Source organism: Homo sapiens, chromosome 8 (genome assembly GCF_000001405.40).
Source record: "Homo sapiens chromosome 8, GRCh38.p14 Primary Assembly".
NCBI lineage: Eukaryota > Metazoa > Chordata > Mammalia > Primates > Hominidae > Homo > Homo sapiens.
The window spans coordinates 26437012-26456481 of NC_000008.11; the positions used below are offsets into that span (position 1 = coordinate 26437012).

At 49.9% G+C, this 19470-nt stretch overlaps 1 protein-coding gene across 1 annotated transcript, besides 4 other annotated features; it reads right to left on the bottom strand.

Annotated features, from left to right (window-relative positions):
* Positions 3955 to 4084: an enhancer, noted in NCBI's record as "active region_27127". NCBI's record gives its function as "activates an Ori minimal core promoter by ATAC-STARR-seq in GM12878 lymphoblastoid cells {active_cell/tissue: GM12878}" and the evidence as "EXISTENCE:reporter gene assay evidence [ECO:0000049][PMID:35858748]".
* On the bottom strand, positions 10185 to 13415 carry LOC124901868 (vegetative cell wall protein gp1). Its single transcript, XM_047422506.1, has 2 exons — positions 13331 to 13415; positions 10185 to 12989 (listed from the first exon to the last, which is right to left on the bottom strand). The coding sequence occupies exons 1-2, from the start codon at positions 13413 to 13415 to the stop codon at positions 12112 to 12114; spliced, it is 963 nt and encodes a 320-aa protein (XP_047278462.1). The 3' UTR covers positions 10185 to 12111.
* Positions 11377 to 11426: a silencer, noted in NCBI's record as "silent region_19040". NCBI's record gives its function as "represses an Ori minimal core promoter by ATAC-STARR-seq in GM12878 lymphoblastoid cells {active_cell/tissue: GM12878}" and the evidence as "EXISTENCE:reporter gene assay evidence [ECO:0000049][PMID:35858748]".
* Positions 12407 to 12476: a silencer, noted in NCBI's record as "silent region_19041". NCBI's record gives its function as "represses an Ori minimal core promoter by ATAC-STARR-seq in GM12878 lymphoblastoid cells {active_cell/tissue: GM12878}" and the evidence as "EXISTENCE:reporter gene assay evidence [ECO:0000049][PMID:35858748]".
* Positions 12647 to 12846: a silencer, noted in NCBI's record as "silent region_19042". NCBI's record gives its function as "represses an Ori minimal core promoter by ATAC-STARR-seq in GM12878 lymphoblastoid cells {active_cell/tissue: GM12878}" and the evidence as "EXISTENCE:reporter gene assay evidence [ECO:0000049][PMID:35858748]".
* Positions 13416 to 19470: the final 6055 nt, after the last annotated feature.

Here is a 19470-nt window from a genome sequence, read left to right on the forward strand (position 1 = left end):
TGAGGTTTTTGCCATTGAAAGTAGTGACAAAAACTGCAATGACTTTTGCACCACTTTAATATTTTCAAGTTCCAGGGATTAGGCCCTGATATCTTTGGGTGGCCATTAGTCAGCCTATGATCACATGGCTGAGGATAGGAAGAAGGTGGGATCTGATGGAAACATATGAATGTCAGGGAGAAGCAAAGATGGGGTGGAGAAGCAGCAGGATCACACCAGGGTGGACCATAATAATCTTAGAGATATTGATCTCTAAGAGCAATGGGACACAATGACAGGTTTGGCAGGGGAGGGAGTGAACCAGCTTCTGTTTTACAGCTGCGTGGAGAGAAGTGGAATATCCAGTCTCTAAAGGACATTTCCCTTCTTTTTTCGAGATGGAGTCTCGCTCTGTTGCCCTGGCTGGAGTGCAGTGGCATGATCTTGGCTCACGGCAACCTCCACTTCCCAGGTTCAAGTGATTCTCTTGCCTCAGTCTCCCGATTAGCTGGGACTACAGGCATGCGCCACCATGCCTGCCTAATTTTTGTATTTTTTTTTTTTTTTTTTTTTTTTTTTAGTAGAGGTGAGGTTTCACCATGTTGGCTAGGCTGGTCTTGAACTCTTGGCCTCAAGTGATCCACCCACCTCGGCCTCCCAAAGTGCTTGGATGACAGACATGAGCCACCACACCCGGCCCTTCTAAAGGACATTTCATCATGTCAGTGAGTGATCTCTGCAAGCCACAGATGTGGAGGGCGGAGAAGATGGGGGACCCCGTGAGAGGCTGAGGCATGCCCTCTGCTGGTCAGCATGGCCACTGTTTGTAACCTTCCAGGTGCAGTCATCTCAGAAAGTGAGAGGCAGTGAGCACGGTGGTCCGGAGCCAGGAGCTTGGAGCCAGTCTGCTCGGGAGGAATCCTGGTTCTGACACTTAGTCACACAGACTTAGGCAAGTCGCCTAATCTCCTGCACCTGATTTCTTCTTCTTCTGTAAATAATATCAGCAGTTGCACTTCTGGCTACCCCCAAAGAAGTGAAAGCAGGGGCTGGAAGGGATGCTTGCCCACCTGTGTTCACAGCAGCACTATTCAGAATAGGCAAAACGTGGAAGCAACTCAAGTGCCCGTCAAAGGATGAACGGATAAACAATGGCGGCTGAATGTACAAGGGAATATTATCTAGCTTTAAAAAGAAATGAAATTTGGACACATGCTACACACAACACGGGTGAAGCTTGAGGACATTATGCTAAGTGAAATAAACCAGACACAAAAAGAAAGTACTGTGTGATTCCACTTATATGAGGTACATAGAGGAGTCAAGTTCATAGAGACAGAAAGTAGATGGAGTTGCCAGAGGCTGGGGAAGGGGAGGAGGGAATGATTGCTTAATGGGCATAGCATTATGGTTTTGCAAGATGAAACCATTCCGGAGGTGGATGGTGGTGATGATTGCACAACAATTTGTGTGCATTTAATTGGCACTGGACTGTACACTTACAAATGGTTAAGATGGCAAATGTAATGTAGATTTTACCACAATAAAAAGGGAGGGGGATGATAATAGTATCTGTTTATTGTGAGGATTAACTGAGCTGATACGTGTAGAGTATGGGGCAGTGTCCAGAAGCAGCAGGTGCTCAGTGAATGTCAGTTATGATTGTTCTCTAAACACATTCACCTTAGTAAGATGCACACTCATTTTATTTCTATGTTTATTTTTTTTGAGACAGGGTCTTACTCTGTTGCTCAGGCTGAAATACAGTCGTGTGATCACCGCTCACCATAGCCTTGACCTCCTGGGCCCAAGTGATCTCCCACCTCAGCCTCCCGAGCAGCTGGGACTATAGGCATGTGCCACTATGCCCCACCAATTTTGTTGTATTTTTTGTAGAGGCGGGATTTTGCCATGTTCCCAAGCTGGTCTTGGACTCCTGGTCTTAAGTGATCCTCCTGCCTCGGCCTCCCAGAGTGGTGGGATTATAGGGGTGAGCCACCATGCTTGGCTCATTTTATAAACAATTGTCCCTAAGAGTCCACCATCTGGGCTTGTCCCCACATGATCCCTCATGTGACCCTCCAGTAGCCACCATAGTTGCTTCTGAGGTGTCTCTCATTCTCCCCTGAAAATGGGCAGAATCAGTTAACTTTCACTTAAGAGTTTTTAACCTTAGTTATAAATTAATCCGTTTTGTCGACAAAACTTGAGCCAAGACTCAGCTGACAATAGTCAGAAGTGCCTCAAGTACTTAGGTATTATATGGTCTGAGGACGGTTGGGTAATCCAGGTCTCCCATCAGGGAGCAAACTCCAGCCAGCCCTGAGAGGCAGGAGGTGCTTGGGCTGAGCTTGGGGCTGGGTGCCAGTGCCAGGCACCCTGGGTCTGGGCAGCACCCTCTTCCTGGCTTTCTGATCTGGTGACGACCCCAGTGCTGTTATCTTTTTTTTTTTTTTTTTTTTGAGATAGCGTCTCACTCTATAGCCCAGGCTGGAGTGCAATGGCAAGATCTCAGCTCATTGCAACCTCCACCTCCCAGCTCAACCGATCCTCCCTACCTCAGTCTCCTGAGTAGCTGGGACTACAGTTGTGTGTGATTGTGCCCAGCTAATTTTCGTATTTTTTTGTAGAGACAGAGTTTTGCCATATTGCCCAGGCTGGTTTCGAACTCCTGGACTCAAGTGATCCACCCGCCTCTGCCTCCCAAAGTGCTGGGATTACATACAGGTGTGAGCCACTGCACCCAGCCAGGCAGCTTTTTATTAGACTTTCACTAGGTCCTTGTAGGTGGAACCTTAGTGGTCACAGTGGGCCAGGAGGGTTTGGCTAGTTTTGGCCTTTGTAGCCATCTTTGAATTACACTATTAGTAGATCAGTCTGGTCTCTAAAAGGAAAAAGACCACAGTCATTATTGGAGTTTGACTATTCCGTTTAAAATGTAGCTTTTAAGTGAGGTACATCATAAAGGATCTACTGGCTGGGCACGGTGGCTCACGCCTGTAAGCCCAGCACTTTGGGAGGCCGAGACGGGCAGATCACTTGAGGCCAGGAGTTTGAGACCAGCCTGGGCAACATGGTGAAACCCCATCTCTACTAAAAATACAAAAATTAGCTGGGCATGGTGGTACGTGCCTGTAATCCCAGCTACTCAGGAGGCTGAGGCAGGACAATCACTTGAACCCGGGAGGCGGAGGTTTCAGTGAGCCAAGATCACTCCATTGCATTCCAGCCTGAGTGACAGAGCAAGACTCTGTTTAAAAAAGACAACGAAAACCGAAAAACAAAGAACAGGTGGAGTCTACTGACTTGCATGAGTCAGGTAATTCATTGACCGGGGCTGGTCAAAAAGATGGGTTGATCCTTACTGTGGAAGCTCTCAGCTGCCCTGCAATACTTTGGAAATAAACCAGGCAAAACACTGCTCAGTGTGCTGCACTCCAGACACAAACAGGAAGCTGCTCTTTCTCTGCTTCCCTCCCCCACAATCAGACTCTTGTAACTCTCTTTTCTTCTTTTTCTAAAATGAATCTGGGAGTTTCCTTTAGCCCCTGTTTTGTGGTCGCCTCCCATACACGTTTTATCTGTCCGTGGCATTTTCTTTTATTTATTGAAAGCACCGTGTCTTAGATCAAGTCTTGAGAAACAGAACCTGAGACAAACATGAATGTGGTTAATTGAACGAGCGCTGTGCAGGAAAAGCTGTACTGGAGAGAGGTAAGCGGACAGATACGGGGAAGAGCTGGGCCCAGCAAAGATGAGGTCTCAAGTAAAGCTTATGTTTGGCTTAATCCACCGGGGACGGTTCTGGAACATAAGCCACACCGCAGAGCTGTGATGTCACACCTTGAGGCGAGGGCCTTGCCTCCTGGTATCAGTCAGTCCTGGCTGTGGGGAGCAAGGTGGCTCCACTCAGTGCAAGGCCATCCTGGGCAAGGGGCAGCCCCCCTCACCGCAGTGGCCTGGCAGTGGGGCCCTGGGTCCGGCACAGCTCCTCCTTCGCACAGTGCTGTCTGCTCGCCCGGTGTCTTTCATGCCGTTTCCCACCAACTTCCCTCCTCTGCCTCCTGCTCTGCATTGCACAGTGCAGCGAGGTTGCCAATTCCATAGTTGTAGCGGCTGTGGGGGAAGGGGCAGGCGGGACAGGGGAGGCAGCCATCTAACTTTTGTCCTGACTCACGCAGGCCTGGCCTGGTGTTCAGAACACAAATGTGAAAAATCAGACCGGGAAGATCACGGGAGGCAGGAAGCATCTGGTTTGCAGGTAGGGAAGTGACAGACCCCGCGGATGCCATGCACAAGGGTACACAGTGGAGTGGGGATGAAATCAGGGCGGAAGTGCAGGGCTCCTGAGCCCGGGGCTGGGGCTGTTTCCCCAACTGTCCGCTGCCTCTGCTGCCTCCTGAGATCGTCTCCTTCTGCTGTCTGCCCGCTGGAACTTATTTTTAGTTTTAATTTTTTCGAGACAGGGTTTTAATCTGTCACCTGGGCTGGAGTGTAGTGTCGTGATCAGGGCTGACTGCAGCTTCAACCTCTCGGGCTCAAGTGATCCTCCCACCTTAGTTTCCCAAACAACCAGGACTACAGATGCATGCCACCAAGCCTGCCTAATTTATTTTTTTATTTTTCAATTTTTAGTAGAAATTTAAAAATCCCCCAGTGTGGCTGATTGGCTGACAGCCACACTGAAGCTTTATTCCTGCCTCTCCTCACTCAGCAATCCTCATTCCTCAAATACCTCTTCTCCCTGTTGTCCAAATGTCCCCTGTACTTCAAGACCCATAGGTCACATCCTCCAAGAAATCTTCCCAGTCCACACTTATCCTTCTTTTAAATCAGGGGTGCACACCCTGGTTACATGTTACAATCACCTAGGAAGCTTTAAAAAATAAGATTAGGGGTTAGGGAGAGGGGACCAGACCAGCTGAATCAGACTCTCTGAAAATAGGACCTGGGCATTTGTAGTTTTTAAAGCTCCCATGTCATTCTAACATAGCCAGGATTGAGAAGTACCGTTCTAAGCAAATATTACAAATATGTCTTGCTTCCACACCCATGGCTATGTTTTGTTTGTTTGTTTGTTTTTGAGAAGGAGTCTCACTCTGTCACCCAGGCTGGAGTGCAGTGGCGTGATCTCAGCTGACTGCAATCTCCACCCAAGTTCAAGAGATTCTTCTGCCTCAGCCTCCCACGTAGCTGGGACTACAGGTATGTGTCACCACTCCTGGCTAACTTTTTTATTTTTAGTGGAGAATGGGTTTCACCATGTTGGCCAGGCTGGCCTTGAAATCCTGACCTCAAGTGATCCACCCACCTCGACCTCCCAAAGTGCTGGGATTATAGGAATGAGCCACCACGCCTGGCCACCCTTGGCTATGTTATTAAAGACATGCAAGGGAAACATTAACTTCCATATTAAAATATTCTCTTTCTTTTTTTATCCTGTACAGAGCATACCATAGCAGCTTGTGCCTGAGACCTCGACAAATATCTGGGGGATAGATTGGCTTGCAGAGCACATTCTGCCTATAGAAATGAGTTAGCAAGTTTAGTCAGCCATTGTAGATTTCAAAGGGTGAGAAGCCTAGCCAGAGGTTATAATATAGCATGATATCCTCCTGGAAATGGAATTCTTCACTTGCGATGCATTTTAGGAGCCGCTGCTCTGTGTGAGCCACTCTGCTAGGTCCCAGCATGCATGATATTATTCTACACAAAGAATAATATCAGAGCTCACAGCCTATGCAGGAAGTAAGCAATTAGTTACAGCGTGATGTGTACTGCAACCCAGGTAAGTACACAGTGTCATGGATGCTTCCAGGAGGAAGTCATAGTCTGACCAGGAAGTTTGGGAATACTTCTCATAGGAAGCAACAAGCTACCTGGAAAGATCTAGAAAGATGAACAGTACCAGTGTATTGATTAGAAATGCGTTCAGCAGCAAGTCATAGAACACATGACTAGTAAGGTTTAAACAAATAGAAGGTTATTTTCTCATATAATAAGCCCAGAGGTAGGCACTAAAGGTGGTACATTGGCTCAGTGGTGTTGGGACTAAGGTTTCTAAAATTCTCTTGTCCTCTAAGACATGGCTGCAGGTTGGCTGCAGCAGCTCCAGGCATCGTGTCCACACTGAAAGGAGAAAGGGGGAGGCCAGCTATGATTTCCCCTTTTATCAGGAAAGCAGAAACCTTCCTGTGGATTTCTGCTTATATCCCACTAGCCAGAACTGGGTCATGTGGCTATCCTTAGCAGCAAGGGAGCCAGGAAAGAGAGGATTTCACTTCTCCAGCTTCTTCTGTATATGGGAGGGCAGGTAGGTGAAGGGGGCTAGACTGAATCCTGTGTGAGCCAACTAGCAGGCAGAACATTTTGCATAGAACTGCATTTGCAAAAACATGGAGCTGTGAAAGTGTGTGGAACATTTACAGGCTATTTATTTATTTATTTATTTAGAGACAGATTCTTGCTTTGTCGCCCAGGCTAGAGTGCAGTGACACGATCTTGGCTCACTGCAACCTCTGCTTCCTGGGTTCAAGCAATTCTCCTGCCTCAGCATCCCCAGTAGCTGGGATTACAGGTGCCTGCCACCATGCCTGGCTAATTTTTGTATTTTTAGTAGAGACGGGGTTTCACCATGTTGGCCAGGCTGATCTTGAACTCCTGACCTCAAGTGATCCACCCGCCTCAGCCTCCCAAAGTGCTGGGATTACAGGCGTGAGCCACCGCCCCCAGCCTACAATCAAAAAATTTAATATCATCAAATTACAGGGCATGTGGCAGAGAAGTGTGGGCAGACAAGACACAGAGAAGTGGAGATGAGACTCTTCAGACCCTTGAATGACATGTTGAAGAGCTTGGAATTTTCTTATAGAACGTAGGTAATCAATAGAGAGGTTTCATCCGAGGAATGATAAAAATCCATTTGGGAAACAGAGGCGGTGTGGAGGATGGGTCAAGAGAGAATCAGAAGGCAGATGATTTACAGCAATCCAGGCCAGATATCAGGAGGGCCTACTCTAAGATTGCTTTTAGCATAGCTACTGGGGAAGAGTCGGGCAGGAGAGCCCAGAGGCCCCGCATGTGATGGAAACAGCTGCCCAAACTGCATCTTCAGGTAAATATGGCAGACCATAGTTCCCCCTTCATAAAGGCCTCTTGGGCGTGTTTCCTGGAAGGAAGAGGTGGGAGATGTCGCCATGCTCAGCACATACGTGAGGTGTTGCATTAGTCTCCTGGGGCTGCCGTAACAAAGTACCACAAAGCAGATGGAAACAACATGCATTTTTCCCCCCACAGTTCTGGAAGGTGGAAGGCCAGGATCAGGTGTCAGGAGGGTTGGTTTTTTCTGGGGGTTCTGAGAGAATCTGAGGGGAATTCCATGGCTTTCTCCCAGCTTCTGGTAGTTGCTGGCAATCCCTGGTGTTCCTGGGCCTGTAGACACGTCACCCCCATCTCCGCCTCTGTTTTCATGTGGCATCCTCCCCGGTGCGTGTCTGTGTGCCCCAACCCCCTTGTCTTATGAGGCCCACTCTAATCCAACAGGACCTCGTCTTTACATAATCAGATCTGCTAAGATCCTGTTTCCAAATAAGGCCATGTTCACAGATACCTAGGGTTAGGACTTGGACATATCTTTTGGGGGGACCCGATTCAACTCACAACAGGTGTTTGAGGGCAGCTCTAGTTGAGAGTGTCAGAGAACCTCTGGCTTAAAGGAGGAACAGGGAGTCTATCTGCTTGCAATGTCTGAAGTAGAGTGGAGTGGCTTTACTGTCCTTGGTAGAGAGCATGTCCTGCTTCATTCTCAGGAAGGATCTCACTGTGAGGTGGCTACGATTACTCTCTGCCCACCCTGGTTGCATCTGGCTTACAGAAGACAATCCCAGAAGAAACAGTCTCCCCCAAAGTCCGCAGCAACCCTTCCACTAGGAGTCTACTCCTGCTTACACAAGGCCCATGCTCACGCCTCACCCCACTGCTGTGTCCAGGGCTTCGTGGTATCCTGATGGGCTAGCGTGGGTCACACTCCCACCCTTTGAGCCATGGGCCCACCTAGTCCAAATCATAACAACTGAACAGGATGATCACAGGTTGTGGAGATGAATCTGCCAAAGTGATGCTAGGCAGTGCGCTTTCTTTTTTATTTTTAAAATATTTTTTGCATGTATGTATGTATGTGAGACAGTCTCGCTCTGTCGTCCAGGCTGGAGTGCAGTGGCAAGATCTCGGCTCACTGCAACCTCTGCCTCCTGGGTTCAAGCAGTTCTCCTGCCTCAGTCCCCCGAGCTGTGATTACAGGCATGTGCCACCACACCCGGGTAATTTTTGTATTTTTGTTAGAGATGAGAATTCACCATGTTGGCCATGCTGGTCTCCTGACTTCAAGTGATCCGCCTGCCTCAGCCTCCCAAAGTGCTGGGATTACAGGCGTGAGCCACCATGTGCAGCCAGTAGTGCTCTTTCTTTACCTCTGCCCAAATGAGGACAAGGAGATGAAGCGTGGCTGAAAGCATCAGCCTCTTCCCAGCTGTCCTGATTGCATGGGCCGCTTGTCCACTGGACAGGTACTTTTCCTGCCGGGCCTGCTCGTGTGGTTTGGACAGATGCCCAACTGTCAGGCTCACTCTGTTCTGTTCAGGGAGCTGGCATTTGCTCCAGTTTCCTCACCTGCCCACAGGGCAGGTGTGTGTCTGTGCGCCCCAACCCCCTTGTCTTATGAGGCCCACTCTAATCCAAAAGGACCTCATCTTTACATAATCAGATCTGCTACGATACTATTTCCAAATAAGGCCATGTTCACAGATATATGAATGGTAAGAGCCAGTGGGCCAGGTTGCCCATGTGAGGGAGCCGGTCTCCGCACCTTGAATTTCTCTACTGTTCTGGCCTCCGGGGCCATGACATTGAGGATGGCTGGCCACTGGGCATTGCTCCTTGCACCATTTTCTCTGGGACTCCCTGATACATGTGAGGTTCTTCTTTCTCAGGCCTCTTTGAGGTGCAGGGACCCCCCCGCCCCCATTGCCTAGTACTCCAAACTGGCCTAGGTCTACCTCTCCCAGCCCAAATGTCCTGAGGTCCGTGACTGGATTATGACTTCATAAACACCCTTCCCCCACCCTCACCACCACCACTTCCAGCATCTGAGCTGGAAGACTGCCCGTGTCCTTCCAATCCACTTCCCTTCCCTGTTGTTCATCCTCACATTTCTCTAACCACAGGCCAGCAGAGCTAGAAAAAACCCTAGGACAACTAGTCCAGCAACGGCGAAACATTCATTTTAACCTTAGTTCACATGGTGCAGCCGCTACAGAAAACGGTATGCGAGTTCCTCAAAAAATGAAACATATGATCCAGCAGTTTCACTTCTGGGTTTCTGGGTATATTCCCAAAAAAACTGAAAGCAGAAACTTAAATAGCTGTTTGTACACCCACGCTTATAGCAGCATTAGTCACAATAGCCAAAAGGTAGAAGAAGCCCAAGTGTATATCAACAGATGCATGGAGAAACAAATGTGTATACATACAATGGGTTATTATTCAGCTATAAAAAAGGAATGAGGCCAGGATCAGTGGCTCACACCTGTTATCCCAGCATTTTGGGAGGCCAAGGTGGGCGGATAACCTGAGGTCAGGAGTTCAATACCGGCCTGGCCAACTTGGTGAAACCCCCGTCTCTACAAAAATGCAAAAATTAGCCGGGCATGATGGCAGGTACCTGTAATTCCAGCTACTTGGGAGGCTGAGGCAGAAGAATTGCTTGAACCACGGAGGCGGAGGTTGCAGTGAGCTGAGATCGCACCATTGCACTCCAGCCTGGTTGACAGAGCGAGACTCTGTCTCAAAAAAAAAAAAAAAAGGAATGAAATTCAGATACATGCTACAACATGGATCAACCTTGAAGACATCATACTAAGTAAAATAAGCCAGTCACAAAAGGATAAGCAGTATATGATTCCACTTATATGAGGTACCTAAAGTAGTCTAATTCAAAGACAGAAAGTATAATAGTGATTACCACGGGTTGGAGGGAAGGAGAAGGGGAGTTATTGTTTAATCATATAGAGTTTGGGAAGATGAAAAAGTCCTGGAGATGGACAGTGGTGATGGTTGTACAATAATGTGGATGTACTTAATGCCACTGAACGGCACACTTAAAATGGTTAACATGGTAAATTTTATGTTATGCATATTTTACAACAATAAACTAGTAAATACACAGGTCCTGTTTATTCTTTTTTTTTTTTTTTTTTTTTTTGACGAGTCTCACTCTGTTGCCCAGGCTGGAGTGAAGTGGCACAATCTCAGTTCACTGCAACCTCTGCCTCCCAGGTTCAACTGATTCTCTTGCCACAGCCTCCTGAGTAGCTGGTATTACAGGTGCCTGATACCACACCCAGCTAATTTTTACGTTTTTAGTGGAGGCGGGGTTACCCCATGTTGCCCAGGCTGGTCTCAAACTCCTGACGTCAAGTGATCTGCCCACCTCGGCCTCCCAAAGTGCTGGGATTACAGGCATGAGCCACCACGCCTGGCCATTAATTTCTTTATTCAAGTCTTTTACGTCACTTTTTGCTTCTGAGATGTGACCAAGATGGGAGTTAACCTTTCTAAAATCAATGTAGTATTTGCAATTTTCCTTTTTTGGGGAGACAGTTTTTACTTTAGGACCTAAGGGCTTGTGACTGTTATTTCTCCCTTTTAAAAATGAGTGTAAAACCTTTGTTTCGTTCATAATTTGCACCTTGACTTTCACTTTGTATAATGTTAGGTTTATCACCTCTGCTGTCTTTTCTGGTTTGTATTTCATTCACTGCTTCCTTCTGGAAATAACATAGTGCTCCTACTATGTGCCAGGCCTGTTCCAGGTACAGAGAATATAGCAGCAAACAAAACAGACCAGAGCTCTATCCTGGTGGAACTCACATTCAAGTTCGGGGGATGGTAAACCAAAATACATAGGAAAAATAAACTTTTGTATTATCTGCATGTTGGACCCTTTGTAAGTCAAAGGTCCTCGCAGATCCGCAGGCAGGTGGGGAGCAGCAGAATATCACGGACACGCGTTAGAAACTTGGGGACCCACCCTCGACCAAGTGAATTCGCATCTGTGTTGTAGGAAGGTCCTCAGGTGATTCACAAACGCATTCGAGTTTGACTGCGGCAAGGGCTAAGGAAAAAAAAACTAAGCAGTGAAGGGACTGAGGAGGGACTGTGAATTGCAGGAGCAGAGGTGCTGTGATTTTAAAACCAGTTGCCAGGGAACAGGGAAGGTCTGGTTTGGAAGAAGGCCCTTCTGTAAGATCTGAAGGGGGTGGGTATCCGGGAGAAGCCACAGCAGCAAATGCGAAGACCCTCGGGCTTCGACGCAGGGACCTGCTGTTCAGAGAGGCTGGGGCAGAGCCAGCTAGGGGCAGCGTGGTCCCTGGTGCAGCCGGCTCGTTTTTACCTCGTCTGTGCTCTGTGTTTGGGGTGTGTCCTGCGGCACCGTCCCTGAGCGCTGGAACGTGCGCGGCCCCGCAGGGCAGTGCGGCCGGGGAATGCACCGAGCTGCGCGCTTCCAGCGCCGTCGGTCTGGGGTTTCTGCCATTCTAACTCCCAAGGCTTTTCTATTTTGGGCTTAAAAAGATGCAGAGTCCCCTTTTATCGGTCAGGCTTGTAGCAGAAGGTTCAGGTCCAAGAGGACCTTTTGGATTTAGTCCTTTCTGTCGGCTCCCGCAGTCAAAACCCCCTTCCCTTAAACTCCGCCTGCACTCGAGCCGTCTCTCTACACCATGGAACCTGCACAGAGGCGTCCAGGCCAGTGCACCCGAGCCGGGGCAGACGGAGAACGCCCCTGTGCTCACCCTGCCCTCGGCCTTGCGTGGGGAAGAAGCTCTGGGTCTGACCCTGGCGAGTCACTGCGTCTCCCGACGCGCGCTGCTCCCTCTGCGAAAGGGGGAAATATCAGCGGCCCAGCTGGGTGGTTCTGACCCAAGTGGGGTCACTTCTAGGGAAGCTGCTGTGGCCAGAAAGCACTGCACAAGAGACTAAGTGTAGCGCGCCGCCCTCGGCTAAACCACGGCTGTGCGGACCACCCTGGACCCGCGCCCCGATCTTCTGCTTTCTTCTGCACAGGGAGTTGTGAGGTTGCTACACCCCCGGGTCTGGATTCCGCACCCGCAGCGGCCCCCGCACGGTGACCACATACCAGGGACTCGACCGAGCATCTCCAGCCACAGGATTCCCCGGGGGAGCGTCCCCGAGCGGAGGAGAGGAGCGATTGGCTGGGAGGGAGGTGGGACGAGCGGTTACGCCGGCGCCAGGACACTGCGGGGCGGGGACCAGGGGACGGGCGGGGTGCGGAGGAGGGGGGAGGACGGAGTGGGACAGGAGAGGGGAGAGGAGAAGGAGGGAGGGGCGGAGGAGGGGAGAAGAGGGGACTGGGACGGGGTGACCCGAATGGGGAGGCGGGGCAGAGGGTACGGGGTGGGGGAGGGGAGAGGGCCGGTAGGGAGTGGAGAGGGAGGTTGTAGGGGAGAGGAAAGGGGGAGAGGGACCCACTGCGTAGGGAAGAAGGAAAGTGGGGTGGAGTGAGCGAAGAGGGGACAAGGGACTGGGTGTGGAGAGAAAACGGAGCTGAGTGGGGAGGAGAAGAAAAGGGAGAGAAGCTGAGAGGGGTGAGCAGGAGGAGGGAGGGCGGGGCGCCTCCCAGCAGTCGGGCGCAGGCCTAGGGTCCTCCCCTCCCCCAGAGGCCAACGTCCCTGGGGCGTGATTAGCAGCTCCTTGGGGAAGAGGACGGAGCCTGAGCTCCGGGCGCGGAGGTCTGGGCGGGGCGACCCGCGGCGCTGCTCGTGGCCGCGGCGATGGCGCGGGGACCGGGGAGGTTTGTCCAGGAGGACGCTGGTCACACCGCGTTTCTGAAGCTTTCGATTCCTCTTCGGCTCTGCTCTCTGCAGCCGCCCTGCCTTCCCTCTGCGCGTCTGAGCCGAGTCCCCGGCGCCCAGGGGCGGGGCGGCGGGGTGGGGACACTCATGGACCCCCCAGCGAGGACCTGCTGGGTGCGACTACATGGTCACCCGAAGGACCCTGAGAGAGGGGCAGCTGTAGGGGGTCCTTGAAGAGGGTCTGACTGCGGGGTTTGTGAGCGTCAGCGCGGGGGAGGCTTGGGCCTGGAAAGATGGGGGAGATCTGGCCGATAGAGACGTGAGTGCCCCAGAAAGGGGGGCCGAGGTGGTGGAGGCGGGCGCGCGGCTAGCTGGGGTCCAGGACAGGAGGGGCGGGAGGCAGCCGGGAAGGCCTCAGGCAGGGCCAGCGAGCAGCACCTCCTGCAGCCTGCCAAGTGCAGGTACGAGGCCACCCCTGCCCTCACCTATGTGTGACGCGTCGAGGTAACCTTTCTGAGCGTTGACTTGTCCACATATGCCAGTGGGGCAATCTCTGAGGGTGATGAACATGTGTAACATATGGGAAGCTGTATAGTGGCCTTCCCAGCGTGGCTGCTTCATAAACTTAGTCCCTTTCCCTCCTGGAGGAAGGAAGTCAACCCAGAGGCTTCTCACTAATGGGCACTTTCCTAGCACAGGTAAGCGTCAAATGGAATCAAACAGAAGAGGCATCTCAGAGTTCAACAGAACAGGTGCCTGGCCTAGCTGGCCTCCGTTTGGGGGATGAATAAGAATCCCCTTACAGGCCAGGTGCGGTGGGTGGCTCACGCCTGTAATCCCAACATTTTGGGAGGCCGAGGCGGAGGGATCACGAGCTCAGAAGTTTGAGACCAGCCTAAACAACATGGTGAAACCCCGTCTCTGCTAAACATACAAAAATTAGCAGGACTGGTGGTGCACGCCTGTAATTCCAGCTACTTGGGAGGCTGAGGCAGGAGAATCGCTTGAACCCAGGAGGCGGCGGTTGCAGTGAGCCGAGATCCTGCCACTGCACTCCAGCCTGGGTGACAAAGCGAGACTCCATCTCAAAAAAAAAAAAAAAAAATACCCTTACAGATTGCATCTGCATTAAGACTTAAGGTCTCAACTTGTTGATTCTTTGCTAGGGATTCTTATCACAATACAAAGAATTTACTGCCATTGATTGCATCCGAATGGACAGACACACACAGATGCACATTTCATGGGAGTGTTTCTCTCATAAGCAGAGAGAACCCTTCTCAGCCTGAATTCCTTGACTTGCAAGTCTGTGTGGGATTCAGGATTACAGATTTAATGACCGAAACATAATAGGGTCTGAGAGGCGGGATCTACAGCAGAGCTGTGGGCAAAACTGCTGGAACCAGGCAGGTCCTACCTCCACGACACAGCATAGAGGGTGACGTGTCTGAGGGCACACAGGCTCTGGTTAGGCTTTGTGGAATTCTGACCTCAATGAGTCACTGAATTGTTGAGATTGCCCTGGTAAGTCAGATCTTGATTCAGTTTCTCCATGGGTAAATTGGGAGCAAATATACTGGCTGTTTAACTTCCCTTAGGGTAGGTGTGGTCTTAAAATAGCTTCTCCAAGTTGAGGCAGTTGGTGGGTGTGACTGTCATTTCTGTGGGATGGAGGAGTTGCAGCCTTCCCGTGAGATCAGTGCCCTGGCATGGCTGAAGTGACATGGAGAGGCCAGGAGGCAGCCTGGCAGGAAGGGTGGCATCCCCCAAAGGGAGGGAAGAGGGAAGCTGGAGAGGTGTGGCCGACCCTTCCCAGAGAGACTTCATGACACTGGCATTCCCCAGGGGCAGTGTGTGGCTCTGTGAATGTTCCAGACATTAGCCAGGGCAGTTGAAGCCGCCCTTTATGCCATACGTGGAACTGTGCTTTAGGAAGTGGCTTAGTTGGTGGAATAATCATTGCTGAACCACAATGCAACCACAAATGCCAGCAAGTGTGCACCTTCTTTCCTGGTGAGTGCAATAGTCAGCCACATCCTTCTGGACCAGCCCGGCCTTGTTTCCTAACTGGGTGGGCCCTGCTTTGATGACAGGTGCATTCCTAGAGGTACTGTCTTCCTGCAGAGTTTTACGTAATGCAACGCCAAGAACGCTTTGATGGTGTGGGCTCTTACTGTCATTGAAACATCCCAACGAACTCTCAGGGCAGCATTGAGTGAGAGCAATGGCTTGGGAGACCCTTCGTCATCTGGTTGGGCTGGTGTGTTTGCTGCCCTTGGAAATTCTCTCAGCATTTCCGCTGTTTGTCTCCTCAGCAAGCTTATTTATGTCTTTATACATACACTCAGGGGACCTAAAAATAATGTTTCTCATTTCAATCAATCTTCCTCATCCTCAACATCTCGTTCAAGCCACACCTCTATCTTCCGTCCTCCCCGACAGCTTCAGGATTTTTCTCTGAGCTCATAGCATTCAGAGTCATTTCACACACATAATGGTCTTGAGTTGCCTGTCATTTTTAGGTTCTGAGTCTTTTTTTTTTTTCTTTTTTAGGCAGGGTGCTGTTCTGTTGAGCATGCTAGAGTGCAATGGTGTAATCAATCATAGCTAGCTGCAGCTTCAAACTCCTGGGTCCAAGCGATCCTCCCCGCTCAGCACCCCAAGTAGCTGAGACTACACCACCATGCCCAGCTAATTAAAAAAAATTTTTTTTAGAGATGGGGTCTCACTATGTTGCCCAGGCTGGTCTCAAATTTTCGGCCTCAAGTGATCCTCCCACCCTGGCCTCCCGAAGCACTGAGATTACAGATATGAGCCACAGAGCCCAGTGGTTTATGAGTCTTAACTCCTCTTCTGGAACCTAAGTTTCCTGATGGCAGATATGCTATGAGATATATCTTTGTACTTCTGATGAATCCAAAACAATGTGGAAGGTATTTCAGGCTCTCGCTCAATACTTAGAAATAAAACTGGTAGGTTGAATTACTTCTGGTAATTCAGTGTGCTGGGTTGAGCTCATTTCGTTCTTCTCTCACCCCATTCCGGAGATGGGACATTTATCTCCACCCCTTCCTGGGGCCCTGGCTCATGCCAAGCTGGGATGATAGACAAGTTTCTGGTAAGATGGAGAAAGGGGGTTAGTATAATAACACATTACAGTTGGGCTAAAGGAGTCAGCTTTAGCAAGATTTTGAATGACCTTGCAGGTAACAACCCCCAGCCCCCAAGACCTAGTGACTTAAAACAACAGCCGTTTATTTGCCCGTAAGTCTGCCATCTGGCCTGGGCTCATGTGGGTGGTTTTGCTGCACGTTCTTGCCTGGGCCACTTACAGGTTGCAGTCAGATGGCACCTCAGCCAGAAGGTCCAAGCCAGCCTCCTTCAGGTGGGCAGCATGCTGGCGGCAGTGGGAGGCCCCCAGGTCTCCTCCATGGAGCGGCCTCTCAGTCATTTTCATGGGACAGACTTTTTTTTTTTTTTTTTTTTTTTTGAGACAAGGTCTCACTCTGTCGCCCAGGCTGGAGTACAGTGATGCAATCTCGGCTCACTGCAGCCTCGACTTCCCTGGCTCAGGTGATTCTACCACCTCAGTCTCTGAAGTAGCTGGGATTACAGGTGCACACCACCATGCCCAGCTATTTTTTTTGTATTTTGTTACAGAGACGGGGTTTCACCATGTTGCCCAGGCTGGTCTCGAATTCCTGGGCTCAAGTGATCTGCCCGCCTTAGCCTCCCAAAGTGCTGGGATGACAGTGGCTCTGTGCTGGGCCAAGACTGTTTCTTAACAGCAGGGCAGCTGGGTTCCAACAAGACAAAACCTTTTCTTGCCAATGTCTGACAGTCACACACTGTCACTTCCACTGCATTCCGTTGACTAAAGCAAGTCACTGGGCCAGCCAGGGCCCTGCAGGAGGGCCGTGGGGTCCATGGATTTATACGAGGAGTGGCAAAGTCATACTGCGTCAAGGCTTGCAGGATCAGAAGGATTGTTGTGGGTGTTTTTTGAGACAGCCTACCTCACGGAGAGAGGCACATCTGTTAAGATTTCCTGAAGTAGCCCAGGAGGGTCCCTGTGCCTTTACACAATCCCCCAACCCCCAGCTTCCCAGGTCCACACCTCCTCCAGCTCCTTGGCCTGAAGACCAGGTGGAACTGATGGACTCAAACCAGGGCTCATGATTCCGACTGGTTTGTAGAGAGACTGAGGGTCCATGGGAGGATAAGAGGGAGAAGGAAGATGAGATGAGAGAGATGAGGCTGCCTGATGCCCCAGAGGAGGCTGGGTGTGGACCAAGAGGTGAGTCCACAGGAAAAGTCAGCAACTGTTTGGTGCCATCCTGTGGTTTTTGTGTCAGGCTATAATGCTTTTATTTCTGATTAAATAGCGTTTACCTTCTCAATTTCTATCCAGTAGGGGCATAGGTTAAACAATTGTCTGTTGTTTTTTTTTTTTTTCTTCTTTTGTAGAGACGGGGTCTTGCTATTTTGCTCAGGCTGGTCTTGAACTCCTGGCCTCAAGCAGTCTTCCCTCCTTGGCCTCCCAAAGTGCTGAGACTACAGGCATAAACCACTGCATCCAGTCTAGTGTCCTGATAGAGACTAAGAATTTCCTCATAGCTGGAAATTTTTAGAGACCTTGTCTCTAAAAAACTTTTTTTTAATAAAAAAAAAAAACGAATTTTCTTCTAATAGAAAATCCTGTCAGAAGAGCTGTGTTTAGATGTGTAATGAAAACACATGTACTAGCCAGGCATGGTGGCTCACACCTGTAATTCCAACACTTTGGGAGGCTGAGGTGGGAGGATTGTTTGAGGCCAGGAGTTTGAGACCAACTAGGGCAACAAAGCAAGACCCTGTCTCTACAAAACATTTTTTTTTTTAAATTAGCCGAGTAAGGTGGTATGCGCCTGTAGTTCAGCTACTGGGGAGGCTGAGATAGGAGGATCACTTGAGCCCAGCAGTTCGAGGCTGCAGCGAGCCATGATTGTACCAATGCACTCCTGCTAGGTGACAGAGGGAGCCCCTAACTCAAAACAAAGCAAAACAAAACTAAATACAGGGGAAGAAAATTCCCACACACGTAATGATTTTCTCTGTACTCTCAACTACTCTCAATACTTCACTTCTGAAACCAGATGTGTGAACTTTTTCCCCACATTGACCAATTTTCCAACCCCAGCTGGAAGTCCTGAAATTCAATCCAATTCTGACACTACCTGGAGTTGGCACAGCCCCTACTGGTTGAAGTCTAATGGGACTGTCATTAGACTGCCCCCACTTCAGACGCCAGTTGCAAGCCCGTGCTGTTACCTCTGCTTCTGATGGGCCAGTTACAAATCAGAGGTTCCCATGACCCCATCCTCAGATTCTATCATTGCTGGAATGGCTCATAGAACTCAGGGAAACACCTTATTACGTTTGCATGTTTATTATAAAGGGCACCGCTCAGGAACAGGCGAAGGGAAGAGAGCACAGGGCAAGGGATGGGGAAGGGCTTGGAGCCCCCATACTCCCCGCAGGCCTGCTGCCCTCCCAGCACCTCCATGTGTTCAGCATCCCAGAGCTCTCTGAATCCCACCTTTTTGGTGAGGCTTAATGATGCAGGCATGACTGATGAAATCGTTGGCCATTGGCCATTCAACTCAATCTCCAGCCCCTCAGTCTCCTCCAGCCTCCCCAGGGGGTGATAATTGGGGGGCAGTTCTGAAAGTTCCCATCCTCTGATCACATGGTTGGTTCCTCTGGCAACCAGCACCCCCATCCTCCAAGAGCCACCTCATCAGCAGAAACTCAGGTTGAAAGGGGCTTGTTATGAATCACTTAGGAAATTCCAAGCGTTTTACGAGCTCTGTGCCCAGTACAGGGTTGAAGACCAAGTGTGTAGCTCTTATTATAAATCACAATACTGTATCACAAAATAGTTAACCGACACTCTTCAGGACCAACAACAACAAAAACTCTCTCTCATCCAAATACCTGAGAATCAGAAAGTTAAACTCTCAGATGCAACTGAGGGTGCTCAGCCCTTCTCTCTCCTCTGCAGCCTGGCCCCTCTGTCTTTGGCCCGTCTTATGGGAAGAGACCAACTCTCTCCAGCATACCTTGCAGACACAATGCAGCTATCTCCAGAGTCAACTCTGGAGGGACCTCAGGGAGCTGGAACATCACACGGTGCCAGAAATTTCTCTCTTCCTGGCCCAGGAAGCCAAGGCCATAATACCCTCAGTTTCAGCGACTGGGGTGGCATGTGAACTTTAGGGGGCTCCCCGGGTGAAAACACAAATCCACATGTATTGAGCTGGACATGGAGGCTCATGCCTGCAATCCCAGCACCCCACTCTAGATGCCCTCATGTGGACACCTACCTTTTCAGGCCTCACAAAATGACTTTAGGACTAAGTCGTTCAGGAAGGGAAGAGGAAGAGCAACATATTACATCTGAAGTCTCGGTTTCCTTAACGTAAAATGAATGTCATCATGGTTTCTGCATAATATGGTTGCCATGAGAACTATGTGACATAATGTACCTCTGCCACATGGTGACCATACAGTGTCAACTGCCATCACCATTATTATAAACCAATGCCTGCATTGTCTTTATTGATTTATTTTTTTATTTTTAGTA